This window comes from Homo sapiens, chromosome 7 (genome assembly GCF_000001405.40).
Source record: "Homo sapiens chromosome 7, GRCh38.p14 Primary Assembly".
Classification (NCBI taxonomy): Eukaryota; Metazoa; Chordata; class Mammalia; order Primates; family Hominidae; genus Homo; species Homo sapiens.
In genome coordinates, this window is record NC_000007.14 from 33,195,439 (window position 1) to 33,210,461 (window position 15,023).

General features: G+C 36.4%; 1 protein-coding gene across 19 annotated transcripts in view; it reads left to right on the top strand.

Annotated features, from left to right (window-relative positions):
- The window catches only part of BBS9 (Bardet-Biedl syndrome 9), a 506,483-nt gene that overhangs the window by 66,154 nt on the left and 425,306 nt on the right, over nucleotides 1-15,023 (top strand). The window lies entirely within an intron of this gene.

A 15,023-nucleotide genomic window follows, 5' to 3' on the forward strand; every position in this document is an offset into this window, starting at 1 on the left:
AAAGTGAGGGTGAGTAACTTGGGCCTCCTGGGTTCACCCTTAGTCACATTATTTCTCAATATGCTGGTGATGCAGCATATTGTATGTAAGTTATCTAGTAGAAATACACTGTCTTATCTAATTGCAACTGTGTTTCTATAGATTACTCTTCCTACTTTTTAGCTTGGAATGTGGTATTCAGAACTATCGAGTATTTGTGATAATGTCCACAAATCAAAATGTTTTTGTTTTAAAAAATTACTTAAATTCTCTAATATTTAGTGTAAAAGACACATCTTTTCATCTGTAACACTTTTCTCTCTGTGTCCTGTGAAAATTCATTTTCCTTTAATTCTTCCAATTTTTCTACTTTGATTGTTTTTTCAGCCAAATGGAAGTTCAGAAAAGTAGAATTTTTACCAAGGAAAATTTAATGTCAGAGTCTAGATATAATATCGGCATGGTATAGATTATAAGGTCTGACAGCACAGTAGTCTCACGTTTGTGACTGAGGTGGAAAAAAATACTGTATATAAAAGGTTCAGTATGTTTGGACTATAATTGTTAGTAAAGGAAGTGAATGGATTTTTATCAATAATATATATGAGCATAGTGGAATATTTTTTAAATCATAAAATGACTTCTATAAGCTTGTATGGGATTATATTGTCACATAAATAAAAATTCATGAATTCTTTGGAATAAAAGTCCTGCCAAAGAAAATAGTGAACTGAAGGATAAGTCAGTCACCTTTTGCCACATCTTTTTAATTTTTATTTTAAAAAATTAAAAAAAAAGCATCCTTCCCACTCTGAGGTTTTGCTACATCTTGAGACAATCCTAGATAATCAGATCCTCAGCCTTCAAATAACTTCTAATTGTCTGAACTGGAGCCTTTTTCTTATCTGCCAAGAAAATGTATTAGTGGCCACATGTGGTTGCTGAGAGGCTGTGCTTCCCAAAGCTGTCTGGTTTCTTTGATTGCCATCCAGAGAGTGAACTGATATGCTCAGCTGGGGTGAATGAACAGCCAGAACACAGCCTTGCTTTTTTTGTGTGGGGGTGTTAGTGCTAATAAAAGATTAACGCTGTTTTCCTCACAGGGAATCAATGGATAATGTTTTGATAGCCCTTGTCTCACCAGTGAACCATATGGCCCTTATTTTCTCATACATGTGGTTGAAATGTTAGAGCGTAATGTTAGAGAAGAATCTCTGTGGTGTACTGGCTCCCGTTCCTTGCCTAGGCATTAAAGTGTAGGTGTTTTATTATATTGGAGAACTTCCCTCATTTGTTTTTAAGATCCTTTATGGATCCACAGTGAGAAGTCGGAAGATCAAGGGGATAATAGGATTGACTCTCATCCTGTGCTGAGTTTTCTCATATACATGGCATTCATTTATAAAATCTCTGGTCCAAGACCTATAAAATAATGTTACTTTCAAATAGTGATTTCCTGTATGTTATGTTGCATAAAACCCTTAGTTCCTGGGGGAAGGTTATAAAGAGAGTTCCCAGTAGTCTGCAGATTGGTTTTTTACATGATCATTTAAAGTTGTTACTTTTTCTAAAAGGTGAGTTCTGATTCCCGTTATACATACACTATCAAAATTTGGTTAAATACCTCCTTGCCTGCTATTGCTAAGAGAGGGAAAGACTAAAAAAATTTGAGGTTTCTTAGTGTTGTTTGAAAAAAAAAATAATTTCTTTCATGGTAGCTAAATGCCAAGACTGGAAAAGCTTTAAGGTGATGCTTGTGGTCAGCACTGCCTTTGACAAGATGGTTAAATGTGGTGGTCTTGATAGGATTTGACAACCATTTTTGATCCATATATATAGTTCATCGTGGTCTCTTTTTAAACAGTGGAGTAATGAAGCTGTTAAATATCCTACTCAATTGAGAAGGAAAATGGCTACCATGAACTACTTTATTCAAGTGACACTGCAATATAAAGGCTTCCAGCAGTTTCAAAAATGCATCTACACAACACATTGCCATGAGAAATGAACAATCTGCCCTTCCCCCGGGTCTCTCTTAAATTAAGTTGATTCAGCCACCCTTTTCCAGTCTCTACATGGAAACTTGCTTTGAGGTTTAAATTCTGTAGCACAAAATAAAGATACATATTAATGCTTAATATGAAAAGCAACTGCTTGTGTTGACTACTAGCATGTCAAATATATTTTTAAAGTACACTGGTACTCTGATTATAGGATATACTAGATATATAAAATTTAAGGAGGTTTTTTTGATGGACTTTTGAGTAGTTTTCAGTTTTTGGCCAATATGAATAAAGCTATTAAGATCTTTATATAATTATTTATGTGGACAATACAAAAATATAAGTATCATACAAGTGTAAAATGATTTTTAAATTATACTGTTAAAAAATTCCCAATCTTTTTTACTGTTATAAAATTTTATGACACCCAAGAATATTGAGAATAGAGTTCTAATATTGGTAGGCATGCTTTTTGTAGAAGAATCATATTATATGTGTTTACCTCAACCTTCAAAGATACTAAATTTGTATCTTCAGTATTTCATATTGTACATAATTTCAGTCACTTCTGGCTAACTTAGAATATCAGAAATGGTAAAGCTTGGCATCAGAACAAGTTCACCTATATTATATTACTATTTCAATTATGTTTCTACCTAAGTTAAAAGTGAGCTGGATTTTAAAATCAAATTTTCTTTTATTGAAATTTGCGAACATGAACCTTTTAAATCAGCATTTCTAGATCTTTGCTAAAATAAGACAGTACTATTTAATATGGAAACAATAACTGAGATGTAATCCTAAATTTAATTTGGAAAGTTATATCATGATTTTAGGAGACTGTGAACATAAAATGTGTGAGTGGAAAATTAAGATTTCATATGGCTTTTTTCAGCTGGTTGATTAAGTCCTATATAGTTCATTGTCCTAAAGATGAAATTTATATAAGGTTTTGGAAGGCAGGATTTGTATATTAAAAGTGCATGTTTCCAAGGTGGTACAAACTGTTTTTAACAATCTATCATCTTTCATTTACCAAGGGAACTATGTAAAAAGAAAAGGAAAATGTTAAGTAGAAACAAAATGTTGAGATGATGATAAGCTACAAGGAAAGAAAAAAGACTTTAGAAAGAATACTAAAAAGAAACTAGCTTTTTTTCCTCAACAATCTGTCTGAATTCATTTTGCTTTCATTATATATCTAGCCCGGAGGCAAAGTATGTTGAGTATTACAACAAAGAGGGTGTTATAAGGAGGACTTTTTTTCAATAATAAAGTATAACATATGTGTAAACCATGCAACCTTGTAACAGGAAACTTTATAATAAGGGAGGACTGTGCTTAGCTTTTCCACAATTTTGGAAGAATGAATTTTATTAGGTGTTAGACAAAGAAATTATCAACTGACTTTTATGCTGTAAGGTTGAAAGATTTGTTATGACCATTTCTAGACTTCAGCAGTGGTTTTAATGTGGGTCCTGATATATTAGGAACAGTGCCTAGCACTATTAATATGTCTACTGTTGCTAGTTCTCTAAAGGAATATGATGTTTAACTTTTGCCTTTCAATGAAAGATTATTCAAAATTCTGTTATTCTGTGGTTTTCTCAGCAGTATTAGGCTATTCTTGAATTGATCAACACATAATATAATTTGGGAACCCAATCAATGGTTCTTTTCTTTTTGAAAGATGGCGACAAATTCTTTTTAAACTTGGGAAATTGGCTCCATCATTCATCCCTTATTCTTTCTTTGCTTCTCTTGCCCAACTTCCTGAAAACCATATTGTTTTGATGTCAATATTTAGAATAGATTATCTGTTGGGGAATCAGTTTGTATTAATTATACTGGAATAAATGTAAGTTTGACAAATGATGTAGGTTAGTAGGTATTGGGCCTAATGGGTTACTCAGTTAATGAAGACACTAAAATTAGGGACCTCTAATATGCCTGAAACATATTTCCTGTAAATTTCCCCCAGTTTCAAGATTAACTGGCAATAGCTATGTTTTTCTGGCTTTTAAAGGCTAATATATCATGGTAGAGTTTTAGGATTTATATAGGGCTTATTATGGAATAGTTGAGCTCTTTGTATTTATCGCACAGTTATTGAAGCAAGCTAGAAGTGTAGAAGTCAGTCCTCAACTTTTTGGCTTTTCAGCAATCTATTTTTTTTTTAATGTTATACTTACTCAGTCTCCTTTCCTCCTCCTCTCACTTCAAAACTTAAAAATGATTATACACCACACACATTTACTGGCAATTTTAAATGAAGGTGGGATAATTTAAAAAGACTCTTTAAATATGGTTCAATTCGCTGCAGGGCTGCTAGAAAAATAAGGATGAAGTTTTTAGGCAACGAGATCTTAGAAGGAGAGGGATGTTAGAAGTATGTTAGCAAGATACAGTATATTGTTATACATTTAAAAATAAACCATTTATTTTAAGCCTTGCAAGAGCCCAGAAACATTCAAAATAACTTTTAACCATGTGTAGTTAATTTGATAAAAATAAAAAGTCAAATAGTACAAAGCATATGAAGGCCTCACTCTCCCCATTATTCTCCCTACTCTCTAATATGAGTCACTGATGCCTTTATTTTTTCTGATGGTTCACTCCTTATCTCTAGATTGTGTGATCACACCCTATTTTTGGATTTATCCTATTTAGATTTTGATGTACCACAGTGGTAGAAGTTTTGATTATTGACACTTCCTTTTTCTTATCCTCCTTCCAATTATATCACTGTTTTCATTTCTGTTGCTGGTCACCTGTGCACGTTCAAACAGTATACTTAATTTCTATTTCTTGTTCTACCAACTTTCAGCTCCTTGATTCTACATTTTATAAAATGAAGACATTGGCTATCTTTATCATTACTGTTATTTCTCTCTGATTTAAGTCTCTCAACCTCTATCCGCTCTACCTTTATTCTTACATTGTCCAAGTTGATAATGTTTACATGCTGGTCTGTAACTATAACTTAAATCTTCCATGACTTCTCATGATTCTAAAAGTTAAACACATACTTTGTTTGAATTATGTAAATATTACTCATTGTAGAGTACTAAGATCACAGAAGTCCAGTGTCCTTTTATGAATCCAATGTCCTGTGCTACTCAAAGGAAAATGATCTTAGTGGATTTTTAAAACACACATATTTATTTATATTGCCTTACAATTCCTGAAGGTTTTCCTGGCTTTCACTCATATTATTGAATCTGTCAGTTTTTTTCTAGTTCCTGGAGACCTTCCTGTTATCTAGAGACAAGGAATCCCCCCCAACACCCAATTTTCTTCCTTTTAATGATCTCATTTTGTTCTGGAGTAATTTTGTTTTGCTCTTTTGTTTTTCTTGGGCTTTTCTTATAGCAGGTTTTCCTCACATTTCTGGTCATCAGTTTTTATTTGAGGATGAATCAGTAGAAAAATTGAGCACTGTGAAAGTGGGTTGGATTTTTGAACAGCTGGCTTAGCTTTATTGGCTATCAATTTCTATTTGACAGCCATACAATAAAGGCTGACTGTAAGCTGTATGTCCCTGGAGACAGGGGCCTGGGTTTGTCAACTGGTGGGCTTTACTTTTACTTTAGGACAGTTAGGGGATAACTGGCTGTTTTATTGGGGACTCAAATAGCAGTAGTTGTATGTCTTTTCTCCTGAGGTTGTTTTCTTACTCTAGAGGTTTTTTTCACTCCTATTTGGGGACCATGGGCATAATGTATTCTGGACCTGGGTGGGGAAGGAGGTTTTGGGTTGACTATCAGGATGAAGACTTTTTCTTCATGTATTTTCAGGTGTCTGCCCCATTCCCATGCTCTTCTATGCCTGGTGTCCCCCTAATCTGGAGTTCCTTGTTTAGTTCACCCTCTTCAGAATATGTGCTTTCTGTTTCCTATGGAGGAAGGATCCTGGGTATCTGTTTATTTCCATAGACTTTTTATTTTTATTGTTAATTTTTTTTTCTTTCCGTTATTATTCCAATTTTAGTATATGTGCTGCCAAAGCGAGCACAAATTCCATAGACTTTTAAACAGCTCCTCTGTTTTCAGATCCTACGTCATCCCACTTTCTGTGGTACCTAGTGCTTTTACTTCCCGAGACTTTTCAGAATTCTGTGGGGTGAATCAGTATATTTCTCTCTAAGCATTCAAAGTTGACCTCACTCTACTCTTCGGTATCATTTACCTCTTCTTGTTCACTTTCCATTTTCACAGATTGTGGGTAGGCTTACCACAGGTCTGATTTCTTTGAAGAAGCTCATGTTTGTTTCTTTTATCCTTGTTGTTTGGGGGCATTTTTTTTTTATTTGAGAGAAGGGGACATAGAGTCTTTAATTCACCACCTTAAAGCAGGAAGTCGTGTCTGCTCTTTTGATGTAATGTTTCTAGAAAATATTAGAGAAAAACTTGTCCCAGAGTCACTAGTCAGGTAAAAGAATATGTGATTGGCTTTCTCCAAAGGCTCTTATTTTCTGTCCTGTGTGAAAAAGGAAAGGGGGTCAGAATGGTTGCCAGGTCATGATTACAGAAGCTCGGCTGTAAGTGATGGATGAAAAGCTTGGTTGTCTGCCTCCATAGTTGAGTGAGTTATTTCACTTCTGGGACCCAGTGAATGTTCAGACAGTTGAGTAATCCCACATTTGGGTATGTGGTAGGCATCAGGGTGAGTAATATATGAGAACTTGGCATAATAATTGGGAATTATAAGGAGAGTGGCAATGTTCGATAGGGCTCTGTCTCAATTTCCTACAATTTCATTTTCATTGCTGTCAATAGTATTGGTTTTGCTCAGAGAATGGGGGCATTCTTAACTTTGGCAGATGCTAGGATTATTATCATTCTAGTATTATTTTTGGAAGAAGAGGAGATAAAAACTGTGCTTGCCCATGAACTTCTTCTATATGAGCATTTTAACCAGTGTTTGTTAGAGATGTTAATAATCTCAGGCTCCAATTTTCTATCTCCAGTTAGGAAGCCTGGTTTATCTTGTGACAGAATATGAGCCATTTACTATTATACATGTGTGTTAGTCCATTCTCACATTGCTATAAAGAACTACCCAAGATTGGGTAATTTATAAAGAAAAGAGGTTTAATTGGCTCAGGGTTCTGCAGGGTACAGGAAGCATGGCTGGGTAGGCCTCAGGAAACTTACAGTCATAGTTGAGGGTGAAGGGGAAGCAGGCACGTCTTACATGGTTGGATAAGGAGGATGAGAGAGAAGGGAGAGGTGCTGTACACACTTTTAAACAACCAGATCTCATGAGAACTCACTCATTTTCATGAAAGCAGCAAGGGGGAGGTCTGCCCCCATGATCCAGTTACCTCCCACCAGGCACCTCCTCCAACATTGGGGATTACAATTCAACATGAGATTTGTGGTGGGGGGGAACACAAGTCCAAACCATATCAACATGGCTCTCCTGTTATCATCCAAAACTTAACTTACCTGGAGAAAGAATCAGCATCTGAGATAATGTCTATAAAGTACTCAGTCCCATGCTTGGTTTCCCTTACCCATTGTCAACCTCCAGCTTAGTAACTCCAGTGGAAAACAAGGGGCTCCCCCAATAACTCTGACCAACAAGGATTTGCCAAGGGCTCCAAGTGGCCCAGCTTGGGTCATATGCTAATTCTGGAGCCCACCACTAGTGTCAGAGGATGGTATACTCTGTGGGCCCACATCTTGGTTAAGTCCTCAGCTGCTTGGTAGGTGGTAGGGGTTGGTAAGGTAGTTAGTCTTATTTGAATCACACAGAATTTGGGAATACATGCTGGCTGATAAAAACTACACGTTTGCTATAGAGAGAAGAGACAAAACTCTACAATAGTGGTTCTCAAACTTTAGTGTCTACCAGAATCACCTGGGAGGCTTATTGAAACACAGATTGCTGGGCCCCATTCTCAGAGTTTCTGATTCAGTAGGAGTGGCATGAGGCCCCAGAGTTAGCATTTCTAACAGGTTTCCAGGTGATGCCAATACTACTGGCGTGGGGAACCACACTTTGAGAACCCTGCTCTCTAGAACAGTGGTTCTTACATTTTAGTGTACAGAGACTTTTCTGGGCTTACTAAAAGTGTTGTTTCTGAGGCCTCACTTCCAGAAATTCAGATTTGAGAAGTTTGGGGTACAGCTCAGGAATGTGCATTTTTAATGTACCCTAGATAATTCTCATATAGGAGCCACAGGAGTTCAGCAGACTATGGTATGATAAATGCTGCTCTGTAGGTTGCATGTAACAAGTATTAGAAATTAACCATCCTTATTTATTTATTTTTACGATATTGGAACACTACTTTTCTTTTCTTTTTTTTTCTTGAGACAGAGTCTTGCTCTGTCACCCAGGCTGGAGTGCAGTGCCATGATCTTGGCTCACTGCAACCTCCGCCTCCCGGGCTCAAGCAATTCTCCTGCCTCAGCCTCCCGAATAGCTGGGATTACAGGCGTGTGACACCACGCCCGTCTAATTTTTGTATTTTTAGTAGAGACGGGGTTTCACCATATTGGCCAGGCTGGTCTCAAACTCCTGACCTCAGGTAATCCGCCCGCCTCGGCCTCCCAAAGTGCTGGGATTACAGTCGTGAGCCACCACGCCCGGCCAGAACGAACACTACTTTTCTAATTTCCACATGTACGTTTGTGTCAGTCAGCATCCTAGCAGGAAATACAACATATCTTGGATGATTAAAAGATATTTTAGGCCGGGCATGGTGGCTCACGCCTGTAATCCCAGCACTTTGGGAGGCCAAAGGCAGGTGGATCACCTGAGGTCAGGAGTTCGAGACCAGTGTGGCCAACATGTTGAAACCCCGTCTCTACAAAAATACAAAAATTAGCCGGTGGTGGTGGTGGCGAGTACCTGTAATCCCAGCTACTTGGGAGGTTGAGGTAGGAGAATCACTTGAACCTGGGAGGCAGAGGTTGCAGTGAGTCGAGATAACACCACTGCACTCCAGCCTGGGTGACGGAGCCAGACTCCATCTCAAAAAAAAAAAAAAAGTTATTTTAGTGAAGGGATCACTGATAGAAGTGTGGGCAGGGTTAAGGGAACAAATAATGAAGCACACAGATTATCAGCAGTGGAAGCTGTTATCACTTCTAAGGTGAAGGGACAGGAGGAGGAAATGATATTATTTTGAGGGCTTATTAAGAGAGAGGGCCATGGAGAAAGGTCCTTCCTCCTACTCTTCATTCAGATGAAAACCTCTCACCCCCAAACAGATGAGACACGAAGTCCAATCAGTTACCTTATTGTCATGGGGTAATATTTCAGCCATATTCCCATTTGAAACCAAAGTTGCATGTAGCCATCACTACTACCCTCATACAAGATAGCAGGAAAAGAGGTGTATTGGGAGAAATAATTGACTAGTATAAAATATACTTAGCTGTAACAGTCTCCACCATTGTAGCTAGTCAAGAGGCTGACATTGATAATCATAACTTCCTCTCTCCACTACTCATTTCATGTTCCTCTTAGTTTTTCCAGTACTTTGGTTGGTCACAATTCTTTACTTTTATACCCAAAAGGATTTAAGTCTTTAGTGGGCCTGTCTTTACTGGGTTACTGTAGTTTCCCATCGATTTTATCAGATAGGAACATTGTGCTAAGAGGCAGCCCAATGAATCCCTTGGATTTTAGACATAGCCTACCTGTTTTTATTGCAAAGCAGCCATCTAGTTTCCTCTTAGAAATAAGGATCAATCATTCTTTAGTACACTAACCTTCTTCTCTGCTTATCACCCCTATGTGGTGGAGTCTCGACCAGAGAATTCTCTGCTTCAAATTTAGTAGAACCATGGCTGTATTCCTTGGTGGAAGCTTTCTTTTCCTGGGAACCATATTCTCCAGTGTTTTCACAGTGCTTGTTCATTATGAGAAATCCTTCCATATACCTCCCTCTCTAGACCTCCTTTTTAACCAGTATTTCAGTTTTGTTCTTTCTAATTACTTAATCCCAACCCATTAGCTATTGCCCACCTATCAGTATAAATCTAAATCCCAGGTCATCTTCCATTCCCAGTAAACTGACCACCAGATATATTGTTCAAATTTACATCTACTGGAAAATTTCTTTTTGTAACTGTTTTTTAAGGATACCCCTAAGTGGGAAACCGATACTTTAGCTGACTTCAGGTACAAGGATATCATGCAAACCCATCTGTAAACCAGGTCTGTGTATTTTTTTCTTCTGTTCATTGGTTATGGGGAACTCCTCATGAGGCATGAAAGAGGCAGTGAAGCAGCAAGGGTAGATACTATAGGAGTTTGAGCCACTAGTGCTCATTAAATTTATGTCTTATTTTCCTGTTCATATATTTGATTTCTATTTAATCAAATAGATTAAATTGATCTTCACATACCCAATTTCATGACTCAGTAGATCAAGTAGCCCATTTTTTGATGGACATCTCTGGTCATGTAGTCACTGTCTTGATTTGACAGTTGGAAGTCTCAATCTTTTTTATTTTGTAAGTATTTAATTAAAGCAGATAGCCCACTCAGCCATCTTTATAATGATTATTGTTATCAAAAATTAAGTCCAGTAGTCACCTATCTCAAAGCTTTGTCCTTCACTGGCACTCCATCCCACATTGCAGCAGTGATCATTTTAATAATTGTGATTTCATTGCATGTCCTATATTTTGTTGTTTCATTTTTTTCCCCTGGCAGGGAGGTCATCTGCGCATTCATCAAATATGTGTGAGCAAACCAGTCCCCAAATCTCTGCAAATCCCCAAGTACTGTATCAGTTAATGACCCAGCAGGAAATAGATTCATGGCAGATGATTCAAATGAAGGGATTTTAAAGCAAGGGGTTACTTATAGAAGTGTGGGAATGGTTAAGAGAAGAAACTGTCTTTATAGTTAGTAAAGTAAGTATAAACTATCTAATTTAAGCCATTGTATTTTGGGATATCTTTGTTATAGCAGCTTGGCCTTTTCTGTAATAGACATAAAAATTTACATTATTATGACACTAGTTGTTACTGATAGCTAAGACATTATTATATTTCCTTTCTTTTTCTCTGAGGTTAAAAATAAGACGTAACTTTATCCCTTTACCCAGGTTTGCCTATTGTTAATATTTTTACCTTATTTGCTTTATGTTTTTTCCTGTCCCTTGCTCTCACTTGCTCTGTCTCCTTCTCTCCCTCTCTCTCTCATGTGTGTACATTTTTCCCTGAACAGTGTGAAAGAAAGTATGTATTTCTCAAGAATAGAAATATTCTTATATAACCACAGTACAGTTATCAGTTTCCCAAAATTACATTGATATATAACATTTTTATCTACTGTATCATCCAAATTCTAATTTTGTCAATTGGTCTAATAATATAATATAATAATGTGCCCTGTAGCACATTATTTCCCATCTCAATGATTACATTTCCATCCTAACTATTACAGAATCTAGGCTAGGGATAGGCATTGCATTAAATTATCATGTCTTTTAGCCTCTTTTAATTTGGAAAATTTCCTCCAATTTTCTTTGTCTTTTATGACATTGACATTTTTGAAGAATATAGTCTCCCATACCATTAAATTTTTTTTCTCATTTTGTCTCTTACTTCCCTGTGATTAAATCAAGATTATACATTGTTGTCCAAAATCCTGTCAAGAATAGGTGATATTGCATTCTTCCTATATTATCACATAGAAGCATCCTCATTAATGATTAATTTTGATCTTCTGGTTAAGCTTGTTACCTGAATTCTCCACTGTGTAATTACTAATTACTGGTGTTTTATGCCTTGCAACTAATAAGGAAATGTAAATATTTTGCTTTTCATCAACATTCCCCCTTGAATTGATAACCCATTAGCAATTCTTGCCTGCAATAATCTTTACTGTGGTAGTTGCAAAATGATGATTTCCAAATTGGCACTTCCTTCACATTTGTCAGTTGGTTCTCAATCTTCTACTGTAAGCAGTAGATCTTTCTTCTCCCCTATTTATTTGTCTGCTTATTATGTGGATTCATGAATTTCAATTTTTTTCTGTTAGTTTTAATTCAATACTGAACCTAATAATTTTGATGCTTAAATTGTCCCAGATTTGGCCAGTGGGAGCCTCTTTAAGCTGGCTCCTGTGTCCTTGTGACATGTCTTCTTTTTTTTTTTTTTGTTAGCATTTCTTTACTTTCTAGCATAGTAAGATGTTCCAGGCTAATCTGATACCTATCCTGCTGCAGCCATCTATATAGTATTAGAGACCAAGATATAGATGCTAGGTGTGATCCTGTTACTATGGTATCTTTACTTTTAGCCCCTTTCAGGGACAGTGCTAGAAAATATGTGCATGTATATACATATATACATATCTGTACATAAACATATACATATATGCACATGTGCACATAAATGTGTACACTTACATATAGATATAACTTTTTTTTTTTGAGATAGAGTCTTGTGCTGTCACCCAGGCTGGAGTGCAATGGCGTGATCTCTGCTCACTGAAACCTCTACCTCCTGGGTTCAAGCGATTCTCCTGCCTCAGCCTCCTGGGTAGCTGGGATTATAGGTGTGCGCCACCATGCCTGGCTTATTTTTTGTATTTTTAGTAGAGATGGGGTTTCACCATGTTGGCCAGGCTGGTCTTGAACTCCTGACCTCAGGTGATCCACCCGCCTTGGCCTCCCAAAGTGCTGGGATTACAGTTGTGAGCCACCATGCCCAGCCCATAGAAATAACTTAAAAGTCATGCATTCCTACCATTATATCCAACTTCAGTTCATTCCTACATAATTCTTTTTTGCCATCCCCTATTCAGTATTTATATGTTTCTTCTAAGTGAATATCTGGCTCTCAACATCAAGCCACATATTCATTTGCTCATGTCTATAATACATCTAAAGTAGCTGCAGAATTGATTTTGACCATTTCCCTATGATAAACAAACCTCTGTCTCTGTTTTCTTTTTCTAGCAAATTCCTCTAAGTATTCGTGTTCCCAGAGGCTGCTACTTCCAGTGCTGCACCCTTTCAAATTCCTTCTCTGTAGCCAGAGCTTTGAACTTGTAGATCCAACCCATGTTGAGAATTTTTGCATTTATTGTTTCACCTTTTCCTTCTGGGGTGGTTGGGTCTGTGCCTTCCATAAGTCCTTTGCTTTCTTCTGTTCTTTTTCACAGAATCTTATAAGCCTTTCTTTCCTCACTTTCAATACCCTGAAGTTTGTGGTAGTAGCAGTGGGCTGATGGTAGAAGTGCCATGGAATTTGTTTCTTTTTTCTTCTACATATGGTGAAGGCAGCAAATGTTCTTTCTCCTAGTAATGCAGAAAGTATGGATTCAGTGTGGTTTTATGTTTTTTCTAGGAGGGTAGGGGGAAGTGGGTGACCACTATTATTTTCTGAATTCAGGAAAATTCTGTTTTTTTTTTTAATTTTTAATTTTTGTGGGCACATAGTAGGATATATATTTATGGGGTACATGAGATATTTTGATATATGCATACAATGCATAATCACATCAGGGTAAATGGAGTATCCTCACCTCAAGCATTTATCCTTTGTATTACAAACGATCCAATTAGACTCTTTTAGTTATTTAAAAATGTACAATTAAATTATTACTGACTATAGTCATCCTATTATGCTATCAAATATTAGATCTTATTTATTCTTTCTATTTTTTTGTACATTTAGCCATTTCTACCTCCCCATCCCCCAACTACCCTTCTCAGACTTTGGTAATCATCTTTCTTTATCTCCGTGAGTTTAATTGTTTTAATTTTTAGCCTCCACAAATAAGTGAGAACATGTGAAGTTTGTCTTTCTGTGACTGGCTTATTTCACCTAACATAATGACCTTCAGTTACATTCATGTTGTTGCAAATGACAGGATCTCATTCTTTTTATGGCTGAATAGTATTCCATTGTATATATGTAACCACATTTTCTTTATCCATTTGTCTGTTGATGGAAGCTTAGGTTGCTTCTAAATCTTGGCTATTGTGAACAGTGCTGCAAGAAACATAGGAGTGCAGATATCTCTTTGATATACTGATTTTCGTTCTTTTGGGTGTGTAACTGGGAGTGGGATTGCTGGGTCATATGGTAGCTCTATTTTTGATTTTTTGTGGAACTTCCTCACTGTTCTTCACAGTGATTGTACTAATTATTCCCATCAATAGTGTTAGAAGGTTCCCTTTTCTCCACTTTCTCAGCAGCATTTGTCACAGTTCAATGTTGGTAGGTTGTATGTGTCTAGGAATTTATCCATTTCTTCTAGGTTTTCCAATTTATTGGCATATAGTTGCTCATAGTACCTCCTAAGGATCCTTTTAATTTATGCATTGTCTGTTGTAAAGTCTCCTTTTTCCTCTCTGATTTTATTTATTTAGGTCTTTTCTCTTTTTTTATTACTTAGTCTGGCTAAAGGTTTGTCAATTTTATCTTTTTAAAAAACCAACTTTTTGTGTCATTGATCCTTTCTACTGTTTTGTTAATTTCAAATTCATTTATATCTGCTCTAATCTTTATTATTTCTTTTCTTCTACTGATTTTTGGTTTGGTTTGCTCTTGCTTTTCTCGCACTTTAAGATGCATGATTAGGTTGTTTGTTTGCAGTTTTTATTCTTTTTTGATGTAGGCACTTATAGCTATAAAATTTCCTTTTAGTACTGCTTTCACTGTATTTCATAGGTTTCGGTACATTATGTTTCCATTTTCATTTGTTTCAAGAACTTTTTCAATTTCCTTCTTAATTTCTTCAGTGACACACTGATCATTCAGGAGCATATTGTTTAATTTCCATGTATTTGTATAGTTTCCAAAATTCATCTTGTTGTTAATTTGTTATTTTATTCCATTATGGTTAGAGGAGATGCTTGATATTATTTCAAGTTTTTTGAATGTTTAAAGAATCATTTTGTGACCTAACATATGGTCTGTCCTTGAGAATGATCCATATGCTGAGGAGAAGAATGTATATTCTGCAGCCTTTGGATGAGATGTTTTGTAAATGTCTCCATTTGGTCTATAGTGCAGATTAAATCCAATATTTCTTGTTGAGTTCCTGTCTAGGAGATCT